Below are 26,450 nucleotides of genomic sequence, written 5' to 3' on the forward strand. Positions count from 1 at the left end.
GTATGTGAGGAGCAGGGCTTGGCCACTGTAGAGACGCACTGCTCAGACCCTGCCAAGGGGAGCTTAGCAGATTGACAGCCTCCAGCACTGACCTTTCTATCCACCCTGCTTCATGGAAGTGTTTCCTACTGGTGATGGGCACAACAGGGGTCTGAAAGCAGAGCCATTTCTGCAGATATGGGACTCCTCTAATGGCAGCCTACTAGGCGACTCTGCTGGGCTGACCAAGACTTTCCCAGAACTAGAGAAAGTCTGGAGGCTCTGCTCACTTCCTTTATCCTTTATAGACATCTCCCTTAAATCTCTTGTACATCTAACCCTAACTTGGCATCTGCTTCTCAGAGGGACCCAAGTCGGCAGTGCTCGGTGAGGATGCTGTCTCCGAGGCTGCTGCTGATCAGCATGTACCCAGGAGGCTTTAGGGGCGAAGAGGACTCTCCTGATAGTTTTTCCCCTGTTGCCTATTAAACATGAAAAATAGAAAATTGAGACTTTGCTGCCTTTCTGTCACATGATGTTCCATCATCATCTTGAATAAACACTGGCTTTGGAGTCTGCAGTCTTCTGATGTGGCCAATGGGGCTGGAGCAAGACAGATTTATTACTTGAGGACATGACAGGTGGTGACAGAGTTGTATCGTCCAGTGTAGTGACTTCCAGGCCCACCAGTGGATGGGGATCAGCTTGGGTATATCCAAATCACTATAGAAATTCTGATTCTGTAGATCTGGGGTGGAGTCAGGAATCTGTGTTTTAAAAAGCTGGGTGGGCTGGGTGTGGTGGCTCACGCCTGTAATCCCAGCACTTTGGGAGGCTGAGGCGGGTGGATTGCTTGAGGCCAGGAGTTTGAGACCAGCCTGGCCAACATGGCAAAACCCCATCTCTACTAAAAATACAAAAAATAGTCAGCTGTGGTGGCACACACCTGTAGTCCCAGCTACTGGGGAGGCTGAGGGACGAGAATCGCTTGAACCCAGGAGGCAGAGGTTGCAGTGAGCTGAGATCACACCACTGCACCCCAGCCTGGGCGACAGAGTAAGACTCTGTCTCAAAAAAATAAAAAAAAAAATTAACAACTGGGTGATTGATAACCATTGGGGCAGAACTCAGGCACTGGCCTGTGGGAGTCAGGGAATAGCATTTCCATCTTGTAGCATGTCTCAACTCCTTTTGCACATTCCTTTTGTCTTCCTTTCTAACATGGTCTGTTGCTCCCTAGGAGTCTCTGAGAACAAGCCAGCCAGAGGAGAAGAAGGATGTTTCTCTGGATTCAGATGCTGCCGGTCCCCCTACTCCCTGCAAGCCCTCCAGCCCAGGTGCAGACAGCAGTCTGAGCAGTGCTGTTGGCAAAGGGCGACAGGGAAGTGGAGCAAGACCTGGTCTTCCAGAAAAAGAGGAAAATGAGAAGAGTGAACCTAAGATTTGCAGGAATCTGGTGACCCCCAAGGCAGACCCTACAGGCAGTGAGCCTGCCAAAGCCTCTGAAAAGGAAGCACCAGAGGACACAGTAGATGCAGGAGAGGAGGGTTCCAGGAGGGAAGAGGCAGCCAAGGAGCCAAAGAAGAAGGCTTCTGCTCTGGAAGAGGGCAGTTCAGACGCCAGCCAAGTAAGTCACTGTATCCCATAGGCAGGGGTTGGCTGTAGCCCTCTGCTGCTCTGTTCAGCCCTGGGCAGGGTCCTATCCCCACATCTTTATTACTGAGTCAGGAGCTTCATTTGCGTGTCCCTGCACTGGGCTGTCAGCATCAGCCAGAGCCCTTAATTGTGACAAATATGCCCAGACCCAGCAGGCAGTAAAATCCGGAATGAAGCTGCAGACCTGCTGGCACTCGAAATTGAGAGAAGAAATTTGCTTTTCCATTGGCACCCTCCTGGAATGTTCATTTTCTTTTCTCCTGCTTACATCCTCTCCTGCTTCCTACCTCCCTCTTGTACTTTTTTTTTTTTTTTCTGTTGTTTTGAGACAGGGTCTTGCTCTGTAGCCCAGGTTGGAGTGCAGTGGCGTGACCTTGGCTCACTGCAGCCTTGACCTCCAGGGCTCAAGCAGTCCTCCTACCTCATCATAGTTCAGGGTGCTTTTTGGCAGAGCATTACCTCAGCCTCTTGAGTAGTTGAGACCACAGGCATATGTCACCATGCCCAACTAATTTTGGTATTTTTTGTAGAGATAGGGTTTCACCGTGTTGCCCAGGCTGGTCTCTAACTCCTGAGCTCAAGTGATCTGCCCACCTCATCATAGTTCAGGGTATTTTTTTTTTTTTTTTTAAGACAGAGTCTCACTCCTTCACCCCAGCTAGAGTGCAGTGGTGCAATCTTGGCTCACTGCAACCTGTGCCTCCCAGGTTCAAGCGATTCTCGTGCCTCAGCCTCCTGAGTAGCTGAGACCACAAGCATGCACCACCATTCCTGGCTAATTTTTGCATTTTTTAGTAGAGATGCGGTTTCGCCATGTTGCCCAGGCTGATCTTGAACTCCTGAGCTCAACCTCGATCTGCCCGCCTCGGCCTCCCCAAGTGCTGGGATTATCGGCGTGAACCACTGCATCTGGCTCCCCTTGTACTTCTTTTTTTTTTTGAGATGGATTTTCACTCTTGTTGCCCAGGCTGGAGTGCAGTGGTGCGATCAGCTCACCACAACCTCCGCCTCCCGGGTTCAAGTGATTCTCCTGCCTCAGCCTCCTGAGTAGCTGGGATTACAGGCATGCGCCACCACACCCAGCTAATTTTTTGTATTTTTAGTAGAGACGGGGTTTCTCCATGTTGGTCAGGCTGGTCTTGAACTCCCGACCTCAGGTGATCTGCCCGCCTTGGCCTCCTAAAGTGCTGGGATTACAGGCGTGAGCCACTGTGCCCAGCCTTCCCTTGTACTTCTTGACATCAGTTTGGGGGCAGTCGTGGTTGCAGCAGTCTGAGTTTCTATAGAGAGAGAACATTGTGTGTCGTGACGAGATGGGGGTGGTCGGGGCAGTAGGTACCACATTTGGCTGTGTTCTGCCCCAGCGTAGGTAGATTAGGTGACAAGAAGACCCTTCTCGTCCATTTTTGTGGCTTTTTCTGAATGATCCCAAGACATGGGAGTGGTTGCTTTGGCAAGATCAGGTCAGTGACCAAAATGGACAGAAGTAAGCCTGAATGGGGAGATCCTTTGGCCTTTTAGATTTTTCAACCCTTAGTCCTATTCCTCCTCCAGGTAGATGATGAGGGAATTCATTTAAAGAGCTTTTATCGGCCGGGCACGGTGGCTCATGCCTGTAATCCCAGCACTTTGGGAGGCCAAGGCGGGTGGATCACTTGAGGTCAGGAGTTCGAGATCACTGGCCAACATGGTGAAACCTCATCTTTACTAAAAATACAAAAATTAGCTGGACATGGTGATGCGCACCTGTAATCCCAGCTACTCGGGAGGCTGAGGCAGGAGAATTGCTGGGACCCGGGAGGTGGAGGCTGCAGTGAGTGGAGATGGCGCCACTCCAGCCTGGGGGACAGAGCGAGACTCCATCTCGGAAAAAAAAAAAAAGAGCTTTTATCTATTTCCTGGGAAAGATGTTCTCCTTCTGTTTTTTAGGATAGCATCAGACTTCGGTACTGCCACCTTTCTAACCGTCTCTGCTACTCTTGGCTCCCCTTACTCATGCAAGTCCTTGCTGATCTGATTCAGAGTGTGGTTGTCTCTACTCAGCGGGCTGCCCAGCCCCAGTGGGGCGGAGGCTGTGCACATGTCCAGAGAGAATGGCGGGGTCCACAGGCCTCGTTTAGGTTTTCAAGAAGAGTGGATTTCAGTTTGACCTGAGCCCTATATTGGCCCCATGGCCTGAACAGAATTCCCTGGGTAGGGACCATGACTCTTTGTGCTCTGCTCTGAGGGATTTCTCTGTGGGTCTGTCTCTCCAGGAACTGGAAATTAGTGAACACATGAAGGAACCACAGCTCTCAGACTCCATAGCTTCTGACCCCAAGTCCTTCCATGGCCTGGTGAGTTTGAGATGAGGGCAGTAGAGTGGTGGTGAAGAGCATAGATTTGTGAGCCTCCAGGGTTAAGTAATTTGCCTAGCATCACGCAGCTTATAAGTGGGAGAATTTCGAACTCATGCTTGAGTCTTGTCTAGCTCCAGTTTCTCAACCCATTAACTAAGGGTAATACTTCCTATTTTATAGGTTTGTTGTGAGAAGAAAGTGAGGCAGAGAATGTAAAATGTTAGCATATAAACATTAATAATATAATTATATATATAATAACATTAAAATGTTAGCTATTATTACTCTCACTATTGTGTGAGTTGCCTGTGTGATCATGTGAGTTACCATGAGCCTAGGAGGTTAGAGACTGGTGTGTTTGTGTTTATGGGATCACTGAGCTGTGGCGAGGACAGTCCCCAGGCTCAGGCCAGGAGGGATGCCATGGCTTCATTTCTAAAGTTAAGGCTTTGTCTTGGAATGCCGGCATCCATGGTTTCTTTGTCCCAGACCTTCTACCCAGCCTGCTGTATCCTGGTTTCATTTGCCAGGTCTGTACCTAAGGGGAATAGTTCAGGGTGCTTTTTGGCAGAGCATTACCTCCAGAAGCCATCCTCCATCTGTTTGGAGGAGGCAGATCAAAGGGAAGGGATTAGTGGGAGAGGGTCAGGGATGAACAGTAATGATATGAGGGGGTGCAGAAGAATTAGGAAGCTGTGTGTGCTCGCCTCTCACTGAGCCATGGGCTTAGAAGGCAGATGGCAGCTGCATTAAGTGAAGTAGAACTCAAACTGAAAGGAAAATGTCACCAAAAAAGAAGAAAAACCCACAAGCTAGAAAGGGAAGGCAAAAAGTCGTTGTTGGCAAAAACTGTCCATGAAGAATCGCCATGTCACAGCTCTCTCGGAAGCAAGGGGGCTGGCTCTTCTAAAGCAGTCACCCATGTGGAGAAACGTGCCCATCAGCGTTTTTCTTCTCTATGGAAGTAGATGGAGGAGGCTGTGGACAGCAGGACCAGACTTTGTCTGGGCGTCCCACCATTAATCAGGGCTGATGTGACAGAACTCTCCCCATTAACATGCTGTTGGGTAGCAGTCCTTCACTTAGCCCAGCAGGGATCTTAGGCTCAGAGAGGGTGGGATCGTGGGCCTGTGGCAGCCAAAGGACAGCAACAAACTGGCACCAGTGTGGGCACTTGCTGCCTGTCCCAAAGAGAAGCCAGTGCAGGAATCATCACTAATTAACTCTCATTGTCCAGAGGGGAACCTGTATGGAAAGGGGATGGAACGAGCTGGAAAGAGCCCACCAAGGCTCATTTCCAAACTGCCCACAGGTTTTCTGGGGATGTTGGCATCTCTTCTCATGCCTGGTTGGGCACCACGGAGAGGGAGAGACAGCTGGAAAGTGACATCCTTCGCAGCATGTGTCATGGAAAGAGCTTGGGCTTTGGAGTCAGTGCGGGGCCCCATCTGACCCCCAGGCCCCTTGCTTATCAGCTGTGTGACCCTGGGCGAGTTATATGTGCTCTCCAACCTGCTTCCTTATCTGTGGGATGAGGGAAAGAGTTTTAGTCTCACAGGGTTATTTTTTCCCCATAATTTTCTTATGAAAAGTTTCAAATATATGGAACAATTAAAAAAATTGTACAGTGAATACCCACATACTCACCATCTATAGGCCACAATTAACATTTTACCATACTTGCTTGACATATCTTTCCATTGAGTCACAGTGTCATTTTGAAGATGAAATTAGTAGATGTTGAAATGTTTGGCACAGAGCTGGGCACATAATAGACATCTTTCTGGAAAGTGGAGTTGGGGTAGTGAAGAGGCCTGGTGGGTGTTGACTGTGACAGAGGCAGAGTTGACCTTTGCATCTCCACTGTCTCCAGGACTTCGGTTTTCGCAGCCGGATCTCGGAGCACCTGCTGGATGTTGATGTGCTTTCCCCAGTCCTGGGTGGAGCTTGTCGGCAGGTGAGTTTCTGTGGGTGGTGGGCTGAGCTGGGGCCTCATTTTCCCTCACAACTTTTTCGGATGACCCAGAACTGAGCCCTGCCCATCACAGGGTGCATTTCTGTAAGTCCTCTCCCTTCTAATTCATTAAGGCATGGTCCTGACTGCCTTTCACGGGGCTTCTGACCATTCCTGCATTGTTGCTATAAATTAAAGCCCTCTTCCACCATGTATTTATCCATTTATCCACTCATTCAGCAGCTGAAGAGTGGACTGTCTGCTCATGTGCAAAGCGCTGTGTAGATTGTAGATTTCAAGGCACTTCCCATCCTGGCCCATTCATCCTCTTTACATGCCCAGCCCACCTGCTGCTCACCAGCTGGATCTGCTGCTCGCTATTGCTGGGGCACACTCCACCTCCGCCACGCCTCTGCCTGCCACTCTGCTTTCCCATTTTTCCCAGCAAGCTCTTTTTTGGTCCTGGAGGTTCACCTCTGACACCTCCTCCTCAAATGGGATGAATTGTTCCCTTTCTTTGCTCCGTTTAGTCACTCTTGTTTTGTTTGATGGTTGTTTGTCTGTCTCCCCTGCCAGATGTTAGCTCTGTGTGGGCATGGATGATGATTGACCCATGTGTGGTACAAAGATGGCTCAAACAGAGATCCTGTCCTTAAGGAGCTTCAAGCCAAGAAGACTTTTCTTTTTCTTTGTGGATTGGTTAGAAGAGCAGTTCTGGCACATGATCTCTGCAAGTGTAAGGGAACATTTGGTTTGGGCAAAATGGAAATTTGTTGGGTGAAACAAACAAGATGTTTAATACGAACCCAGCCTTGGAGCCTTTAGTGAAATGTGTGCTAGAGGCAGCCTTGGAGCCTTTAGTGAAATGTGTGCTAGAGGCAGGCCAGTTGCATTTGAGCCCAACATGTTCCTCTCAGCTCTGGCTGATAAAACCTTTCTGGGCCACTGTCCAGCTACCAGGTCCTTGTTGGATCTTGGTCATCCTGTTTGCAGTGCTAAAGAGATGTGAAGGCACAGTCAAAGGAAGGTGGGATTAGTCAGGAAAGGTTTGGAGCAGGCGAATTGTGAGGCTCCTTTGGCAGTAGGTGAGTGGGAAAGTTACTGAGTCAGTGCAGTGGAGGTGGATTCCATTGTTTGGGGTCCAACACCTGGCCAGTATCAGAATTACTTGGGAGCTTGAAAAAAAGACAGATTTCTGGGTCTACCTAAGACCTGATGTGGCCAGCAGCCTCTTTTTGGGCTATGCCACTTGCTGTAACGCAGTAGCAGGACCTGACTTGGTTTTGGTTCTCACGAAGTGCAGCCTCCTGAGGTGGCCATCCCTGGCAGAGGAAGCCCTAAGCCAGCGGTCCCCAACCTTTTTGGCATCAGGGACCAGTTTCTTGGAAGACAGTTTTTCCAGATGGGGCCAGGGGTGGGGGCATTAGATTCTCATGAGGAGTGCGCAACCTAGATCCCTTGCATGCACAGATCACGATAGGGTTCATGCTCCTGTCAGAACCCAGTGCCACTGCTGATCTGACAGGAGGTGGAGCTCAGGTGATAATGTTTGCTTGCCTGCCCACTGTTCACCCCCTGCTCTGTGGCCTGGGGGTTGGGGACCCCTCCCCTAAGCTATACCTTGTGACCTGCCTGTTGTGATGTGGGTAACAGTGCTCAGTGTGGCTGACCAAGTAGCCAAGCCTTTGCAGGCTCAGCTTCCAGCTGTCTGCCATCTCTGGGGGTGGAGGGGTCGAGATGGGGAGGTGGAGCTGGAGGAGAGAGCAGCAGCCCCTTCATGGGACAGAACTGTAGATGCCATCTTCTGTTCTTCCTGTGCGCTCTTGCCCATTTTGCCGTATTTTCCATGTCTCTCTCAAGGGCAGGACCAGGGCAGAAGGCTTATAACTGAGCTATACTAGTTTTTGTTCATTTAAAATATTTGCAATGCAGCTTTATTGAGATAAAATTGACATACAATAAACTGCACATTTATTTGATAAGTTTTACCGTATTATATACCTTCACAACCATCACCACAAAAAACGATTATAATGAATTAGACATAATACATTTCTTTCTTTCTTTCTTTTCTTTTCTTTCTTTTTTTGAGATGGAGTTTCCCTCTGTTACCTAGGCTGGAGTGCAGTGTCATGATCTTGGCTCACTGCAACCTCCATCTCCTGGGTTCAAGCGATTCTCCTGTCTCAGCCTCCCCAAGTAGCTGGGACTACAGGCATCCACCACCATGCCCGGCTAATTTTTTTTTTTTTGTATTTTTAGTAGAGATGAGGTTTCCCCATGTTGGCCAGGCTGGTCTCGAACTCTTGACCTCAGGTGATCTGCCCGCCTTGGCCCCCCAAAGTGCTGGGATTACAGGCATGAGCCACCGTGCTCGGCAAACATAATACATTTCATAATGAATTAGAAAAGTGATTATAAAATTGTTTCAAGTAATACAGAAGATCCAAGTTCTCAGCTTCCTGTAGCCTTACACAGGCAGGGACTATGGATAGTTCCCATTCACATTTTTCATGTACCTTTCCAGAAAATTTTCTGTGTACATATAAGCATATATCTATTTTCTCTTATCTTTTTTCTTCCCATAAAAATTGGGATTGTGCTACCTAAACTGCATGGTGATGTGCTCTTTAAATTTGAGAATAGGCACTTGACTTATTTCTGAGTTATTTCATTTAGATCTACCATATTCTTTTTGTTGGCTGCACAGTCTTCTGCTGTATGAATACACCATGGTTTATTTAACTGAGGACTGCATCTTAAATGAAAACAAGACCCTAGAGCCAAGTTAAGGAGAGGGAAATGGTATTTTAGGCCAGAGGCTTAGGATGTGCGATTGTCTCCCCTTTCTGAAGAATGCTGACCTTGGCTGCTTTCCTCATCTGGATCCTTTGCTTCCTTTTCTGGAGCAAAAAAGTTAAGGAAGAGGACCCTCTCTATCAAGAGGACCGTCCATCTGGGTATTTCCCCGAGGATCCCCTTTTCTCTGTCAGTGGGGGATAGTTCAGTTTCTCACAGAAATATAGGTGAAACAAGAAGGCAGAGGCCAGAAAGCCATGGTCTGCAGCCAGCCCTCCTGTCTGCTGCCTTTTTTCTTATGGTGTATGGCTGATAGCCCCGGAGTCCTTTCTGACTCAGGGCTCAGTCCCCCTATTTTTATTACTATCACCCCCACTTCATTACTCATCTTATATTTTAGTTTGTTAAATGGAGTGGGCCTGTCACCTCGACAGGTGAGAGAGGGAGATATTTGATGAGCATGGTGTGGTCTGTGGGGGAAGACAAGTTGTGAGTTGCACCCTCGAAGGGGAAAGAGGTGGGGCAGGAAAGGCTGCGTGCCCTGCCATTGTCTGCAGGCTCTGCCCGTGCTGATGTGATGAGGAGTGGCAGCCCTGGCAGGGAGCCCTTCTGCTACAGGCACCGGGAGGTACTCACAGGCAGCATTTCTATTTTTAATGTAATTTGGGGGAGCTGGGTTTTAGTTCAAGCCCTGCCCTTCCTCACCCATCCAGATGGCAGGGTTAGCCACAGCTGCTGGGGCTTAGGCTGCCAGTGGAGAGGTATGGGGGCTGTGGGCACAGGGCTGGGGACCCTACTGGGAAAGATGGAGTGAGCTGTCTCCCGCCCCACCTCTCCTGTTGACCCTGTGTCCCAGAACAGACGGGGCTCCTGTCGGTGTGACAGAAGGAGTGCAGGTCCTAGGATGGGGACTGGCACTGGCAGAGTCTTTTCTTTTTGTTTTTTACCTTAGGCTGGGGGAGAGGGAGAGGAATGTGGGAAGAGGAGCTAACATTGATGGCGTGCCTTCTTTGGGTCACGAGCTGGGCCTTACGTATATGAGCTGATTTAATCCTCACCAGAAGCCCTGTGAGTTGCAGTTTGCTATCCCATTTTATACAGTGGAGGAGACAGACTTCCTAGGCAGGAAGAGCTAGAACAAAGGGTTGACCCCAGGCCGACTACACTACTGTACCTCTGTGGAAAATATTTGAAATGATCATGAATATTTCTCCCCTCCAGGCTGGGTGACAAAGTGAGACCTTGCCTCAAAGAATAGTTCTTCCTTTTTTTTTTTTTTTTTTTTTTTAAACCAACTTGCTAAATGTCACTAGTCACCCAAGCTTTAAAATGAGATTTTTGTTCTGTTTTGTTTTGTTTTTGATGGATGATGTAATTGCTGACTGGGAAGGGGGCATCATTGTCTGCTGATGGGGCCAGGGTGCTTGCGGGGACCCTGAATGTAGCGAAGGAGCACTTTGTCTTCCTTCCTCCAGGTGCCAGGTGGTGCCCTTTTTGTCTCTGGCACAGCTGTCTCTCTCATTCTACCAGGACTCCATCTCTCCAGGACTTATCCTTTCTCATGTGCTTGCCTGTGGCCCCCGATTCTGCCCTCGTAATTTCAGCACGCTTGTCATTCACTGGCACTGCTAATCTGGGCCTCTGTGGATTTGGGGTACTCATGGATTTCTCTGCTTTCTCTGCACAGCTCACAGTGCAGGCTTCCAGCAGCAGGAGGCAGGATTTTCTTTTTCTTGTGTGTTCTCCTTCAGCCTCTGGCTCCTGACTCTCTGTGTAGTGGCTGTGGTCTTCTGCCACATCTTCCCCAGGCCTCAAGGCTGACCCAGGGAGCAGCTGTGAACCTAGCCAAAGCTTGGGGAAGCTTCACTGTGCAGTAGATCAACCTTCTGTTCTACGTCCCGTATGGTCCCATCTTCTGGAGAGCAACTTCTCAGTGCTTTCGTCTAAGCTTGAGAGCCAGCAGGAGGATGGAGGGACCCAAATGCAGTCCCTCCAACACAAACTTTTTATTGCTTCTCTCCTACAGGCCCAGCAACCACTGGGAATAGAAGACAAGGATGACAGCCAGTCCAGCCAAGATGAGCTGCAGAGCAAGCAGTCCAAAGGCCTGGAGGAGAGGTACCATAGGTGGGAGGCTATCCCCAGCGCTGTGCCTTCAGGGTGGTGTGGACTTGGGCAGAATTCTTGGCTTTGGTGGCCGGCCTGGCTCAGTGTACAGTTGCTTGGCAGCAGGTGATGAACTGGCTGGATGGCCTTGCAGGGTCTGTGTGTGCACATGCGTGTGTATATGTGTGTGCACGTGTGTGTACTGGCAATGTGTGTATATGTTTGCATGCATGAGCAGACCCTTTGTTTCTTCACCAAGATGGGAATGTGAAGTGCCACTGGGTACAATTGGCAGGACTCTGGGCACCATTGTGGGGCCAGGGCTGATGAAGCTGTGTGTGTGCCTGGTTATGGGCCAGGGCTGAAGAAACCTTGTGGAGGTCTGGAGGAGTCGCATTGGAGGGTTGGTACTGCAGCTCAAGAGTTCTGAGCCAGGGCCCTGCCACATCAGAAATGGCTGTAGCTATCTGTGAGAGTGCAACTGTGTGTGATGTGACAGGGGCTCTCAGCTTCTCCGGCCTGAGCCCCATGACAAGGGCTGCCACCCTAGAAGGGGAAGGAGAATGGTCATTTCACTTTTGGACCTGCAAAAACTATCCATGACAGCTTCATGCATTTTTCTAGTTTGACCTCTTGAGTCTGGCTTCTCTTTTTCTCCCCACTTAGTTCTTCCACCCCTCCCTGGCCCCAGTGCTGGTGAGCTCTGGGGATGGGTATACTTGTGAGTGTGTCCTGCTCTTACTCCTGAACCAAGCAGAGGCAGTATAGGGACCCCTGTGGAGCCTGACTCCAGTCTAGGTAAAAGGAGGGCTCAGGAGGGAGTCTATCCTTCCCACATGTGTGGCTGCCTTGCCCTGCTATGGCTCTCCATGGATGGATGTGGGGGTGGGGCTGGAGCATAACCCAGGAGGAGGCAATGACCTAGGTCCACACACTGTACTCCCCAGTTCTCTTCCCGCTCTCCAAATGGAGGGGCCTGACTCTGCTGCTCTGCCCGGCCTGACCAGGTTATCTCCTCCACTTCCACACGAGGAGCGGGCCCAGAGTCCCCCTCGCAGCCTGGCCACTGAAGAAGAGCCTCCCCAGGGCCCCGAGGGGCAGCCCGAGTGGAAGGAGGCAGAGGAGCTTGGGGAGGACTCTGCAGCCAGCCTCAGCCTGCAGCTGTCCCTCCAGAGGTAAGGATGAGGGGAAGCATCCTCATGAGGATGAGGGCTGGTGGCTGCTCTGTGTGTAGTGGGTATGTGTGCTAGTGCTGAGAGAGATGGGGGTGGGGTTGGCTTGGGGAGGGAGTGGGGAGCTGGGGCGGGTTTGTAGCCTCAGCAGCAGCAGCAGCAGAGGCTCTGCTTAGTGTCCCATGGGATCTGGATATGAGGAAATGTGCCTCTTCCTAGTCCTCAGTCTACAGCTGAAATCAGGGTATGTGGTCTGATTAGAGGAACTTAGAAACTCTTGAATAAGGAGGTGTCTCTTTTGTCACAGCTGCCTCCCTGCAAGGGGCTGGAGCAGAGACTGGTATCACCCTGGCTGCTCCATTCCTGTCAGGGAAGCCCTTTCTCTAGTCCCCTCCCTACCAGCACCCCTGTTTCCAATAGTCATCCTACTTCTTGTCATTCAGCAACCCCAGCTGGAGCCCTGTTATGTGCTCGGCCCAGGGAGAGGGAAGCCCAGATAACTCTGGGTCCAGCTGAGAGGACCTTTTTTCTTAGCCTAGTCAAGAGCGTGGTGGACATTTGCTAGTTGTCTGTCCCCCTAGCAAGAGAAACATGCTGGTCTTAGAATTCATTGGGTTGGAATGAGTCACTAGGGAACCTGAGCAGCATCGATGTGCAATCAACAGCATCCACTGAACACCTGCTGTGTACGGAGCTCCTGGGGTACCATAACCATCTTGCTTCCATTGTGAGGCAGGAGTCTCTAGTCTTTGATGCAAATAATTCAGGGAGAGGAAGGGCGGGGAGAGGGAGGTCTAAGACCCGAGGTAGGGAAATTGTTGGGCTGTCTCTCTTGTCTCTGTCATAGCTCTTTGACCCCAAATGGCGTACATCTTAAGCCTCTTGCTTTCTTACTGGCTTTAACACAGTTGTTTCCTTACTGCTATCAAGGGAGCAGGCCCCAAGCCCACCTGCTGCCTGTGAGAAGGGCAAGGAGCAGCATTCCCAGGCCGAGGAGCTGGGCCCTGGGCAGGAAGAGGCAGAGGATCCTGAGGAGAAGGTGGCGGTCAGCCCCACCCCGCCAGTCTCTCCAGAGGTGTAAGGGCCAGTTTTGTGTGTCTGTCCCTGACCTCCACTGCGTGTGGGCTGCTTCAGTGCCTATTCACTCTTGGGTGGTGGGAGGTGGGGCTCAGGCTCTGGCCAAGGGTTAGAGTGTAGGGAGATTAAGCATATCCTTGGTGCTCTGTGTGCAGCCTTGAGAGCCCCACACAGGCATGACTGATCCTTACCTGGGGTTAGCTTTGGTCTCTGGGGCTCCTGGTCAGGACTTGAGGTACAAGGGCAGATGAGGGGGTACCTCCTGGCTCATTTGCTAAACTTGCTAAATCATGTTTCCTGTCTACCAAGCACTGTTTTTCTCTTCAAAAATGTTGTTGAGGTATGTATGTACACTGCAGTACATAGGCCTAAAGTGTACAGTTCAGTGAAAGTTTGCATCTGTGCACACTGTATAATGGCCACTCAAACAGGGAATGTCTCCATCCCTCGAGGAAGTTTCCTCGTGCCCCTCTCAAACCACTCACCCCAGATCTTCACTGTTCTGGCCTGTGAGCTCCAAGTTCTGGCCAAAGGGTCATTTTTCCAGTTCTCTACTTCACATACATGGAATTATACAGTATACAGGATTGATCTTTTGTGCTTGTGTTCAAAGCTCAGTGTGTTTTTCTGATTCACCTATGTTGTTGAACCAAGTACTTCTAAAATTTAGAAATCATTTAGCTTTTCTCCTTCCATTCTTACCCTTCCCCTTCCTACTCAGTTTTCAGACGAGGAAACTGAGGCTCAGAGAAGTGAAGGGATTCATCTAAGGTAACATCGCTAGTCAGTGGCAGAATTAGAACTAGATTATAGGCCGGGCGCGGTGGCTCACACCTGTAATCCCAGCACTCTGGGAGGCCGAGGCAGGTGGATCACCTGAGGTCAGGAGTTTGAGACCAGCTGGCCAACATGGCGAAACCCCGTCTCTACTAAAAATACAAAAATTAGCTGGGCGTGGTGGCAGGTGCCTATAATCCCAGCTACTTGGAAGACAGAGGCAGGAGAATTGCTTGAACCTGGGAGGTGGAGGTTGCAGTGAGCCGAGATCGTGCCACTGTATTCCAGCCTGGGCAACAAGAGCGAAACTCTGTCTCAAATAAAAACACTAGTTTATAGTCACTAGAGCCCTAGACTTCTGACTTTAGTCTGCAGCCACTGTTCCTTTTCTCTGCATAGAGAAAGAGAAGGATCAGGACTTAACATTTTCCCTTCTGTGAACTGAGCAGGTCTAAAGGATTTGGGACTGACTCATGAGCAGAGACAGGTTTATGCACACATTACTCACAGCAAGTTCATGCACACATTACTCACTGAGAGCTGGCAGGGCACGTGAGCTCAGGATCTCATGTTGTCACCATAACATTGCAGGAGTGGTGTATGGAAGGGGTGGTCATGTCTTTCAGATGGTGATACATCCTACAGTGAAAACTGTGACCTGGAGGAATTATATGGCTTTCCTGTCACCTTGGTGGCTGTGGTTAGCCAGTTCAGGATGCTTTCTGTGAGGACAGGAGGTGGATGTAGTTCAGAGAGAGGAAGATTGGGCAGAGGTCAGAGGGATGTCTTCCCAGGACCTCTAGAGGGAAGCCTGGGCAGCCGGGCTCAGTTGGGGCCTTGGCTTCCCCAGCTCCTCCCCAGTTGCCTTGGCCGATTCATTCCTTTGTCTTGTGTTTCTCCCGCCATCCCAGCGAGGCTGCCCCTGCTAGGGTCTGAGAAATACCTGACCACGCAGTTTCAGTTTATACCATCCCCTTAGGAAATGCCTTCTCTTCCTTTCCTGAGTCTCTTCAGGCCCCATCGCTTCCGTGTTATTAATCTTTACAGCGGCATCAGGAATGGATGGGTTGTCTAGGTTTTGTGGGAGTAGCTCTGTGTCTGTCAGCTTCCAAAGGTGTAGTCAAGCTGGATCTGAAGGGTTAGGAGCAGAGGGCAAGCTAGAGGGAGCAGGTAGGTCCAGGAGGCAACATGTGCCACTCACCGAATGCTTTCTGGCCAAGGCCAGGGCTAGGAAACAGGAAGGTCCTCCCCGTGTCATGCCAGCATCTTTCGTGAGGATTTCCAGAGAAGAGGGTAAAAGAATCCAAACCACCAAGTTGAGTATGAGAGGAGACATAACTTTTGTGGTAGTACCATGAAAACCATTTCACAGTGTTTCTAGGTGCCATTTCCCCGCCCTCCGCTCTCTTTCTTCCCTGTCTCTCCCTGCTTTCCCTTCTTGCTTTCTCTCCCGTATCTTTGAGCTACTTGGTGGCCAGCCTGAAATGATTATGCTCCTGCAGAGCCTCCCCTTTGTCACTCACTGTAGGAAACTGGGTCCCACTGATTCTGATACCTGAGGAGTTGGCCTAGAAATCAGAGCTGTTTCTTCCCCTGGAGTCCTCAACTTCCCAATCATGTCATGGACCTTTCAGGCATTGTTTACTGCCTTGGAACTGAGCTAGCAGTTTGGGCTACTAGACCTTTAAAACAGTGCGAGGGAGAAGAGGTCCACTGACAGACAGCCCAGGTTGCCTCTGTGCAAGTTCACTGGTGCTCATAGCCTGGGCACATGCCCCACATGGTCTGATGCCCCATCTTTCCACAGCATTATCCCTAGGGCTCCACATAGCTTGCAGCCTGCAGGAGAGAGAGACATTAAAAGGTACCATCTCAGGGAAAAAAGATGTTTTCAGCCAAGGTTGGAAATGAGTTGGAGGGTTGATGAGGCGGAGAGCTGTGGGGGAAGCCTCTTTCTGAGGGCAGGATTCTCAGAGGAGGTGGCAGCCACATGTCTTATATATGCATTAATTGGGCTGTGTCAGGGGACTGAGAGGAAGCCAGGCTTTGGAAGGAAGGAGAAGATGGAGTTGGGAGCAGAAGAGAATTGAAGGCATAGGCTGAAGATCATTTCTGGTCCGAGTTATGATTTTAGGAAAGGGGAAACGAAAGGTCTTTATGGTAATTCAGAGATGACAGTAGCCTGTCCTGTCTTCCTCTCTCTATAGTCTCAAGGTGCTGCAATGGGATTCGTAAGCCCTTGTTTTCCTCTACTGTTCTAATCCGGTCCTGCCCGCTGCTTTCCATCTGCAGCGGGGCTCGAGCTGGAGGGAGAAGGGATTCTGAGTCCACAGCAGGGAGGACCAGCTCCCCTGTTTGACTCTTGCCCAGCCCTCTTTGTTTTGGATCATGCCCACACTTTCCGCTTAGGTTGACTGAGCCACCATGCCAGGCCTGCAACAGCCTGAGTGCTGTGCGAGGAGGGTGTGTGGTGAGGCCACTTTCCACCGTAAGATTGAGGGACCTGGACGTGGAGACACATTCTGGCCTTTAGGAAAGTCACTCTGGGAGACAAAATGCTTTATCCTGCTCATGGTTTCCTCATGCTTTATCCTGCTCATGCTTTATCCTGCTCAGAATGTTCTCAGGATTCCTCTTTGGGCATTTCGTTGAAGAACCAGAAAACAAGCAAAATAACAGTCCTTATTACTTTATACACATCTTTTTAATGGATACCATTATTCCTGATCTCACCACCCTCCTATGTATCCAGGTCAGCTCTGAATTCCTTTTATTCATTTCTAAACATTTAATTAACTCTAAGCAGACGAAAACGTGCCCCCATGGGTAGACGGGGAACATGGCACTCATGTGCATGCTTGCTACATTTTTTGGCTTAGGGGAGCATCTCCTCCTGGCCCCCTTGGTGGTGTGATAGGGGAGCTTCCTATTCCTGGGCCTTCCTGGACTGTTGTAGTTCTCAGAGCTGGGATACCTGCTGCTGCTTCTTTCATGGGCCCATATACATTGGCCACTACTCAGTTTGGGAGGCAGAAAGCAATCTCTGGGGACTGTTCACAAATTGCTGGCATGAGCCTTAAGTAGCAGGCAGAGCTCTAGCGGGGAGGTGGTAACGGGGCTGTGAGCCATTCTAGGAAGGAATCCATTAGGGACAGAGCTTCACTCTCTCCCTGCTGCTGCCAGCTCTTGAGCCGCAGCTTCAGATTTTGATCTTGGGCCATAACCTCGTAAGTCTGCTGAGAGCCTGCTATGGGCTACCCTTCTCCCTAGGCTCTTGGGGCCTTAAACAGCCACAATGGGGCTTGTCCTATGGAACAAGCATTGACTGTATCTCTTGGCCTGCCCTTGGGTGACCTCTTTGACTCCTGATTGTGGGCCCTCCATTAGGATTCCATCTGTGATGTTCCGTATCCATTCTAACCTGGATGCAGAGGTGGGTGGACATTAACCCTGTGATGATATGCCATTCCCCACCCATGGTAGGCGATCCACAGAGCCTGTGGCTCCCCCAGAGCAGCTCTCAGAGGCTGCACTAAAGGCCATGGAAGAGGCAGTGGCCCAAGTACTCGAGCAAGACCAGAGGCACCTGCTGGAATCCAAGCAAGAGAAGATGCAGCAACTGCGGGAGAAGCTGTGCCAAGAGGAGGAAGAGGAGATCCTCCGGCTTCACCAGCAGAAAGAGCAATCTCTCAGGTCCTGCCCTTCCCCTTAGGCATGCTTCCTGGGGCCTTTCAGGGATGTGAGGAGCCAGGGACACCCTCTTAGCCTGGGGACCACTGGGATGCCCATGGTTCTACTAAGACCAACTAAAGTTGGGAAACTTGACCCAACAATTTCTGCTTATATCTCATTGGTTACACCTAGTTGCAGAGAACACTCGGAAATGTAGTCCTTTAGCTGACCTCTTTACCCCGTAGAATAAAAGCAGGGTTCTGTTGGTAAGGAAGAAAGGGAGAATGGATATTGAGCTGTTAATGAGCCATCTGTCACAGTCCCAGGTTGGGAAAGGTACTACAAAAAGGTGTTAACATATTTCATTTACTTGGCAATTTAACTAAAGGCTAAGTCTTGTCCTCTTGTACAGAACATCCAAGAGTGGTAGAAAATTATTATTTTTAGATGATACCTAGCAAAGTATATATAAAACATTTATGCTTAATTTAGAGAATATAAAACAGAAAACCAACATACAAGTACTGGGAAGGTTGGAGCAATCTCTCATGAGTCCAGCGCAGGAAGCACTGACATAGGGTCTGTCCTTATATCACATCCTTGTGGGTCCTCCACCAGGGAGCATCCCAAAGAACAGACACCTCCAACCCCCTAGCATCCTCCAACCCCCTAGCATCCTCCTCTTCCAGCCAACTGAGAATTGGGGCAGGGGCCCACCCAAGCAGGATGTGACTCACCTTAAGGTGCAGCACCTTGGAGGAAATCCTGGCGCTGTGTCCCTGCCAGCCCACCAGTCTCCTCCCCTCTTGCTGGCCACCCTGAGCTTGGCTGACTGTGCTTTCCATCTCTCTCCCGAGGCCCCTGACTCCAGAGGCCCTCTTAGGTTGTGGGGAAGACTGGCATGCTAGAAGTGTCTTGATTCATGGCCTGGAACATAGCAGTTGCTGAACAAATGGTAGCAATTACTTTTCAATGGAAATCAATGCATATTCAGGCATTCTTGACTAAGTGATTTCTCTGTGGACACTGCCTTCAAGGCCTGGCTTTCTTCAAACTAGTTCATCACCAGAACCTGTTTCTGTTTATGCCCAAGCCTTTCTGAGGAATGGGCTCTCCTTCCGTCTGCTGGGAACTTCCATGTGGTAGAAATTTCTGGAAGCCACAGCTGATCTTGTAACAAATATTTCTGGAATGAGAAGGCAGGCAGGCTGGCCCTTAGCTTCTTTCACTGTAAAATGAAGGGATTGGACTTAAAACTTCTAAAGTCCCTGCCAGCTCTAACACTGTGTTGCTGTGTGTAAAATTTAGCCATAGGACAAAGAGAAAAGGTTTCTGGGGAATCTAGAAGGAAGGATTTTTACTTAATTCAAATTTTCTCTCTTTTTTTTTTTTTTGAGACAGAGTCTTGCTCTGTCGCCCAGGCTGGAGTACAGTGGCTTACTCGGCTCACTGCAAGCTCCGCCTCCCAGGTTCACGCCATTCTCCTGCCTCAGCCTCCCAAGTAGCTGGGACTACAGGCGCCTGCCACCATGCCTGGCTAATTTTTTTTTTTTTATTTTTAGTAGAGACGGGGTTTCACTGGGTTAGCCAGGATGGTCTCGATCTCCTGACCTGATGATCCGCCTGCCTCGGCCTCCCAAAGTGCTGGGATTACAGGCGTGAGCCACTGTGCCCGGCCAAATTTTCTCTCTTAATGGAAAAAAGTAATGATGTTAGTATCTTGAAATAGGAAAGAATCCTAAGTCTTTTTTTGGCTTTAGGATTTGCTACAGAAGCTTTTCAAAGGAATTGTCTTCCGAATCACGTTTTTCCTAGGTTTGAATTCCCTGAGCGCACAGCACACATCCCCTGGTCGTGTGGGGCTGTGTGAGGAGTTACCCAAAAAGGATGTGGTTTGTGTAAGCAGGGGGATGTCTGCTTAGGATGAAATGGCCACTGTTGTTGGTGTGTAAATAAGATAACCTTTCATAGATATCACGGCTTGCTTATAGTTTGGGGCTGGATGATGCTGTTCAAATTCAATTAATTTATTAAGCACCTACTTTATGTCAGCTACTATGTGTGGTACCTGGGATATAACAGATTTTAAGACAAGATTCTTTCTCTTGAGAAGCTCCCAGACTTGCAAGGAAAACAGAGATACAGAAGATGAATTATGATGCCATGTGACGCATGGTGCAGAGTAGCATGGGATAAGAAAGGTCCACATGTAAAGTGATGGGAACAGAAAGATGAATTGATGAGCTTGTAGGGAGTTGGAAAGACTTCCCAGAGAGGGAGCTGAGTGTTGAGGAATGAATATGGGTTTGCCAGATAGAAAAGGGAATTCTTGGCAGAGAACCTAGGAAGGAAGAGTGTGGTAGAATGGAGGGATGGTGACTCAGCTGATGTGGCTAGAACAGAGTCTGTCGGAGTGAAAGAATGTGGAATCTGGTTGGGTGGCTATAGCTATCCTTGAGTGAGTGCCATGCTGAGGTGAAGCTGTTGACAGAGGGGAGCCTTTGGAAGAAGTGCTGTACTACCAAAACCCAGAAGCCAGTAGTTTGCTTTTTTTTTTTTTTTTTTTTTGGAGATAGAGTCTTGCTCTGTTGCCCAGGTTGGAGTGCTGTGGTGTGATCTCAGCTCACTGCAACCTCTGCCTCCCAGGTTCCAGCAATTCTCCTGTCTCAGCCTCCCAAGTAGCTGGGATTACAGGTGTGCGCCACCATGCCCGGCTAATTTTTGTATTTTTAGTAGAGACGGGGTTTCGCCATTATGGCCAGGCTGGTCTCGAACTCCTGACCTCAAGTGATCCACCTACCTCGGCCTCCCAAAGTGCTGGGATTACGGGTGTGAGCCACCACGCCCGGCCATTAGTTTGCTTCTTGAAGCAAAGGGGAGTTCATGGTCCCTTCGTAATCCTGGGAGGTATTAGGGAGGCAGCAGTGGACCTAGAGGCTAAGGTTAGACTCATCTTTAAGATTTAGGAAGCTTTGACTGGGCGCAGTGGCTCACACCTGTAATCTCAGTGCTTTGGGAGGCTGAGGCTGAAGGATCACTTGAGCCTAGGAGTTCAAGACCAGCCTGGGCAACATAGCGAGACTCCATCTCAACAATTAGCTGGGTTTGATGGTGCATGCCTGTGGTCCCAACTACATGGGATGCTGAGGCGAGAGGATTGCTTAAGCCCAGGAGTTTAAGGCTGCAGTAAGCCATGATCACACCACTGCATTCCAGCCTGGACAACAGAGCAAGAACCTGTCTCCAAAAAGAAAAAAAAAAAAAAAGATTTAGGAAGTTTCTTAGGCAGGCAACAGGGCTATTGGAGGCTGAGAGCCATAGCTTATGAATAGAAGAAAGACCTTTGTGGTTTCTCTGACAACCTAGCCTTTCCTTTCCATCTCAGTTCCTTGAGGGAGCGGCTGCAGAAAGCCATTGAGGAGGAGGAGGCCCGGATGAGAGAGGAGGAAAGCCAGAGGCTATCCTGGCTCCGAGCTCAGGTCCAGTCCAGCACACAAGCAGATGAGGACCAAATCAGGTAAGTGTGTGCTTACCTGTGAGCTGCCCAGCCCTGCGGAGGCGACCCCAGGGTGCACAGGCCCGTTACCATTCCACTGTGTCCACCCAGGGCTGAGCAAGAGGCTTCCCTGCAGAAACTGAGAGAAGAGTTGGAGTCTCAACAGAAGGCTGAGAGGGCCAGCTTGGAACAGAAAAATAGGCAAATGCTGGAGCAGCTCAAGGAAGAGATAGAGGCTTCGGAGAAGAGCGAGCAGGCTGCCCTGAATGCTGCAAAGGAGAAGGCTCTGCAGCAGCTGAGGGAGCAGCTGGAAGGGGAGAGGAAAGAAGTGAGCTAGTCAAGTGGGGACCTCACCCTCTGACCTGTGTCTGGGCTGCCTGGGGAGGGACTGAGTGCACAAGGAGAAGAAGGGCAAGTCTCGGGTGGGCGTGCAGGCTGGGGAGCCAGGTGGAGAGTAGGTCTCACACACACAGGCATGGGAGACAGCGAGATGACCACCTGGGCCCATTACTCCATATGGACCGAATCGGCTCATGACAGGGCAGAGGATGCAGCAGGCATCACAAGGCTCCTCCAGGGTCAGGCTGGATGGCAGTGGCGGCTGGAGGTTGTCAAGCAGAGAACCCTCAGAGGCTTGAGGGAGAGCGTCCTGTGGATTTGAGAAAGTTCGTGACTGAAAGAGATTTAGCCAGACCAGAGGTTTTGAGACAAAGGCGCTCTGTCCCTCACTGTCTCTGAGGGACAGCTGCAAGGGCCTCACTCCCCACTTTTCTCTCCTTTCTTAGGATGAGAGGCTAGCAATATAGCAAGGATTTTCTCTTTGTCCATACTCCCTCTTCTACTCCAGTCAGATGGTGGGCTTCTGAAGGTTTTAGCACAGTCTCTCTGAGCACTTGTAGTACAGTGCACTTCCCTACTCCTGCTGTAGTGTTTTCCTTGTCTAATAGCTGCAGCTTTGCACCTCACCAAAATAAAAAGAAAATTCTACATGGCCCGACTTAATGACAGCATCCAACCTGGCCCCCCTGGCTTGGATCTTATTTACCAGCATGAGCACCATCTGTGGATCTGTGGCCTAGTCTAAAGGCAGGGGGTGGGAGCAGAGAGCCGAAACTTACTGAAATGCCCCTCTCCTCTGACCTTCATGTTCCTGTTCATTTGCCAGTTGTAGACTTCAGGGGCTGAGTTATTTCAGAGGAACAAAGATGTGCTGTGCTTCCCCATGCTTCCCTTGACCCTGATCTCGAGGGCTTGGGGGTCGGTAGTCTTCCTGGCTCCGCCTCCCACCATGATCAGTACCTGGCCAGCTTCACTCACAGTCCCTTTGCTCCTCCCCAGGCTGTGGCAACGCTGGAGAAGGAGCACAGTGCTGAGCTGGAGCGGCTCTGCTCCTCATTGGAGGCCAAGCACCGGGAGGTAAGATGCAGCATCCTGGGCCCCCTTCATGGCTGATTAGCAGAATTCAGCCCCATCCCTGGCTACTAGGCAGCGAGCCTCTCTCTCCAGCCCTGGGGGATGGATGCCAGGTCCTCAGAACACATCCCCACACAGCAGCTGTACAGTCTGTCTGAGGGTCACACTCCCCTGTGTGTGCGGGGGCCTCCTCAGGTGGTCTCCAGCCTCCAGAAGAAGATACAGGAAGCTCAACAGAAAGAGGAGGCCCAGCTGCAGAAGTGCCTTGGGCAAGTGGAGCACAGAGTTCACCAGAAGTCTTATCACGTGGCTGGGTATGAGCACGAGGTGAGTGCTGCTCTGTCTTCCACAGTCGTGTGCGCCTGTTGTGGACTCTCTTACAGTCAGCTGAGCCGGCCTAGCCTCAGCGGCCTCCAGTTTGCTTTGGATGGCTCAGCTGGGGTTAGCATTTCTAGTTCCCTTTTTATGCCTTAGTTCCCTTGAAGCCAGGTACTCCTCCAATCTGATGCCCCTGTATGCATGTGGGGAGGGGGTGTTGGGGTATGGCTGTGTGCTGACCATGGTGTCATGGCTGTGTGATGTGCATGTGTTGTGTGTGTTGGGGGAGATTGGGGAAATGTGTGTAAGACCTTCAGGTGCAGCAGGCCCTGAGTGCTGGTCCGCCTCGGTTCTTCATGCCACATCCCTGCCATCTCCCCTGCAGCTCAGCAGTCTCCTGCGAGAGAAGCGCCAGGAAGTGGAAGGGGAGCATGAGAGGAGGTTGGACAAGATGAAGGAGGAGCACCAGCAAGTGATGGCTAAGGCCAGAGAGCAGTATGAAGCTGAGGTAGCTCAGCCACATCCCCTGCGCGCATGCACACACATGCACACACACATGCACGCACATGCACACACACATGCACACACACATGCACGCACATGCACACACACCCCGGGGTCCTTCCCACCTGGCTGTGGGGCAGAGGAAGGGGATAAACTGTGGTCAGGGATTGTGGGAGGTTTTCCTTCCTGGTACCCTGCCACGATGATGTTTTTTGCCTTTTTTATTAAAACATGAGAAAAACCTCCACCTAATGGGGGGCAATTCCTCTTTTATCAGGCAGGCTGTACTTTCTTCTGATAGTAAAAAGAACCCCCATACATTGAGCTTGTACTGTGTGCCAAGAACTGTTCTGAGCTCTTTATCTATTTTAACTCATTTAGTCCTCACACCAGCCTTAGGAAGGATCTACTATCATTGTCTCCATTTTAAAGATGAGGGCACTGAGACTTGGAGAGTTTAAGTAGCTTCCCAAGATCACACCCAGCCAATAAGTAGAAGAGCTAGGATTCAAGCCCAGGCCATCTGACTCCAAAGCCTTCAGTTTCCTCACTGCAATGCTGTGTCACCAGGGTTCCTCAACATCTTGGGACACCAAGAAATAGACTGGCAAGAGCCAAGTAATACTGATATTCTCCCCATTTTAAGCCTTTGGTCTTAAGGTAGGAAAGTTCAGCGACTTGAGTTTACCCAAGCTGGCCTGCCTTGCTCACATTGAGGGTGAACAATGGGTGGGTAGAGGGTGGCTGACTATAGCCCACAGCTGGGACCCTGCAGGGTGTTAAGACTACTGCTCCAGTAACTGGAACCAGTATCCCAGACTCTTTCTAGGATCTTTCCCAGGGCAGAAATAGCAGTCCCATGATGAAATTTGCCATATCCCTTCCCCCAACCAATTATGACCTTGCTGAAGAATAGTGATAATTTATCAGTGACCTCTCATTCCTTACAGAGGAAAAGTTGTATATGGTGGAGCCATAGGGAGAGCCAGAAAGGGAATCTGTCGTGGTGTCTGACCAGCCTCTGCTTCAGCTCTAGAGGGCTGCAGGCTTGCTGGGGCCAGGGCCGGTGCTGTGCTTGTAACCCTCCTCTTCTCCAAGAGCTGGCTTTAGGGAGCCGATGGTGTCCCTGATCTTACTGATGCAAGGCTGCAGGGCTAGGGGAGCTGTGATTTTTGTGGTAGAAGGGGCTGCCGCAGCTTCCCACCGGTGGGCCCACCCTCCTTGCAGGAGAGGAAGCAGCGGGCTGAGCTTCTGGGGCACCTGACCGGAGAGCTGGAGCGCCTGCAGAGGGCCCATGAACGAGAACTGGAGACTGTGAGGCAGGAGCAACACAAGCGTCTTGAGGACTTGCGGCGCCGGCACAGGGAGCAGGTGAGGGGCCTGGGGCAGGGTGAGCCCACTGTGACCCCTCCATGCACAGTAGGAAGGTGCTGGGAGCAGACGCATGGCCCCAGCAGGATGCAGCCTGACAGCTTCTGGAGTGAGAGTCTCTCACTGGCCATCTCCAAGCTGGGGCATCCTTGTTACTTTGTTTTCTGGGCCAGGGAACACACTCAGGATTAGAACTAGAGGTCAGCCCCTGTAAGGCATTGGGGTTGGCACCTTTGCGTCTCCTTGCCCCAGCAGGAAGTAAACAAGGTGTGGAGCCTTCCTGGGAGGCTGCAGGGGCACACAGCGAGGAAGCCTGAGCCCAGAGTGGAGGTTGTGGTGTGGCATGGTGGGTTCTGGAACCCCCTCCTGCCCCTCAGCTAATGCCTTACACTCTTTCTATGCTTATGTGTTTCCCTTTCTGGGCAGGAAAGGAAGCTCCAGGATTTAGAGTTGGACCTTGAAACCAGAGCTAAAGATGTCAAGGCCAGATTGGCTCTGCTGGAGGTCCAGGTGAGGGATCTGCAGGAGTCCTTGACCTCAGAGTCATAGCTTCTCTAGCAGAGGGCAGGCTCTGCCCCTCAGACCTGGGGTCTGCAGTCAGCCAGAAAATCCTGTCTCTTCCCTGCAAGGAGGAGACCGCCCGGAGGGAGAAGCAGCAGCTGCTTGATGTGCAGAGGCAGGTTGCTCTGAAGAGTGAGGTTTGTCTCCCTGTTTTGTCCTCCCTCCTGTTCTTCCTCCATTTCCTGTCTTTCTTCTCCCTGTTCCCCACATTTTGTTCATCTGATCTGTCCAGGGCACTGGGGTTCCAAACTCTGTTGGCCAGTATTCCACAAATAGTGCCACTCTGTGGACCCCACTTGGGAACCTCAAGGGAGTGGGACTGTGGTAGGACAGGAGCCTGCAGACCTCTTGACCTCAGAGGTGGTGACTTCAGTGGCTCTGAATTCATTCCCAGCCTGTCCTCCTTTGGCTTCCCTACCCTCTCGTGCTGTCTGCTCCCTGGCTTCTCTCTGTGCTGTCTCTGGGTGCTTCTATCTTTCCTTTTGCCCCTAGGAAGCCACAGCCACCCATCAGCAGCTGGAGGAGGCACAGAAGGAGCACACCCACCTGTTGCAGTCAAACCAGCAGCTCCGAGAAATTCTTGATGAGCTGCAGGCCCGCAAGCTGAAGCTGGAGTCCCAAGTGGATCTGCTGCAGGCTCAGAGCCAGCAACTGCAGAAACACTTCAGGTGGCGTGGGCACCCTGCACTTAGCCCTGCTGGCTGCCTCCTGCCTGCCCTCTGACCTCTGCTGCTTGTGTCATGGCCCAGTTAATAGGGAGAGGTGGAGTCCCAGCTTGGGAGCTAGGCAGAAGAGCCTGTGGCTACATTTTGTAGGGAGTTGGGGTTGTTAAGATTCTGTGAAAAGCAGGGGATCTCTGGTGCTATTGTTCGTGCCTGAGCCCTTCCTCAGGGACTTTGACGGATGGGAGTGAGGGGGTGGAGATGGTTCTGACCCACTTCACCCCTCCCCCCCATCGCCAGCCGCTGCCCTGCCTCTCACTCATCTTTCCTTCCACAGCAGCCTGGAGGCTGAAGCTCAAAAGAAGCAGCACCTGTTGAGAGAAGTGACAGTTGAGGAAAATAATGCTTCCCCACATTTTGAGCCAGATCTCCATATTGAGGACCTGAGGAAATCCCTTGGAACAGTGAGCTGGGGGCTGGGGCCTGGGGGCTGGGGCACCAGGATGGTGTGGGGCATTGGGAGGGGCTGGGCATCAGGGGAGTACTTCCAGAGGGGACAGCTCATCAGGAGGGGTGGAGCCTCAGGAGGGGAGG

The 26,450-nt window shown here is 50.8% G+C and overlaps 1 protein-coding gene across 73 annotated transcripts in view, besides 3 other annotated features; it reads left to right on the top strand.

Annotated features, from left to right (window-relative positions):
• Positions 1–26,450, top strand: part of CEP164 (centrosomal protein 164) — a 91,489-nt gene that overhangs the window by 48,083 nt on the left and 16,956 nt on the right. For 12 of the 73 annotated variants that reach the window (XM_005271453.2, XM_047426571.1, XM_017017372.2 and 9 more), the window contains 17 exons: positions 1,220–1,606; positions 3,891–3,971; positions 5,848–5,931; positions 10,754–10,845; positions 11,841–12,008; positions 12,936–13,082; positions 17,343–17,552; positions 20,917–21,048; positions 21,139–21,355; positions 22,366–22,443; positions 22,636–22,767; positions 23,144–23,266; positions 24,490–24,633; positions 25,060–25,143; positions 25,263–25,331; positions 25,687–25,862; positions 26,194–26,320. In XM_005271453.2, coding sequence (XP_005271510.1) covers positions 1,220–1,606; positions 3,891–3,971; positions 5,848–5,931; positions 10,754–10,845; positions 11,841–12,008; positions 12,936–13,082; positions 17,343–17,552; positions 20,917–21,048; positions 21,139–21,355; positions 22,366–22,443; positions 22,636–22,767; positions 23,144–23,266; positions 24,490–24,633; positions 25,060–25,143; positions 25,263–25,331; positions 25,687–25,862; positions 26,194–26,320 — 2,451 coding nt within the window. Of the gene's footprint in view, positions 1–1,219; positions 1,607–3,890; positions 3,972–5,847; positions 5,932–10,753; positions 10,855–11,780; positions 12,009–12,935; positions 13,083–17,342; positions 17,553–20,916; positions 21,049–21,138; positions 21,356–22,365; positions 22,444–22,635; positions 22,768–23,143; positions 23,267–24,489; positions 24,634–25,059; positions 25,144–25,262; positions 25,332–25,686; positions 25,863–26,193; positions 26,321–26,450 lie in introns of all 73 variants that reach the window. The other 61 variants (XM_047426579.1, XM_047426583.1, NM_001440962.1 and 58 more) reach the window with 16 other exon arrangements.
• Positions 11,327–11,853: an enhancer, noted in NCBI's record as "H3K4me1 hESC enhancer chr11:117251903-117252429 (GRCh37/hg19 assembly coordinates)". NCBI's record gives its function as "activates a minimal SCP1, AML or CMV promoter by ChIP-STARR-seq in naive H9 embryonic stem cells {active_cell/tissue: H9 hESC(naive)}" and the evidence as "EXISTENCE:reporter gene assay evidence [ECO:0000049][PMID:30033119]".
• Positions 11,854–12,379: an enhancer, noted in NCBI's record as "H3K4me1 hESC enhancer chr11:117252430-117252955 (GRCh37/hg19 assembly coordinates)". NCBI's record gives its function as "activates a minimal SCP1, AML or CMV promoter by ChIP-STARR-seq in naive H9 embryonic stem cells {active_cell/tissue: H9 hESC(naive)}" and the evidence as "EXISTENCE:reporter gene assay evidence [ECO:0000049][PMID:30033119]".
• Positions 12,547–13,048: an enhancer, noted in NCBI's record as "H3K4me1 hESC enhancer chr11:117253123-117253624 (GRCh37/hg19 assembly coordinates)". NCBI's record gives its function as "activates a minimal SCP1, AML or CMV promoter by ChIP-STARR-seq in primed H9 embryonic stem cells {active_cell/tissue: H9 hESC(primed)}" and the evidence as "EXISTENCE:reporter gene assay evidence [ECO:0000049][PMID:30033119]".

Source organism: Homo sapiens, chromosome 11, assembly GCF_000001405.40.
Source record: "Homo sapiens chromosome 11, GRCh38.p14 Primary Assembly".
In the NCBI taxonomy this organism is placed as follows: Eukaryota; Metazoa; Chordata; class Mammalia; order Primates; family Hominidae; genus Homo; species Homo sapiens.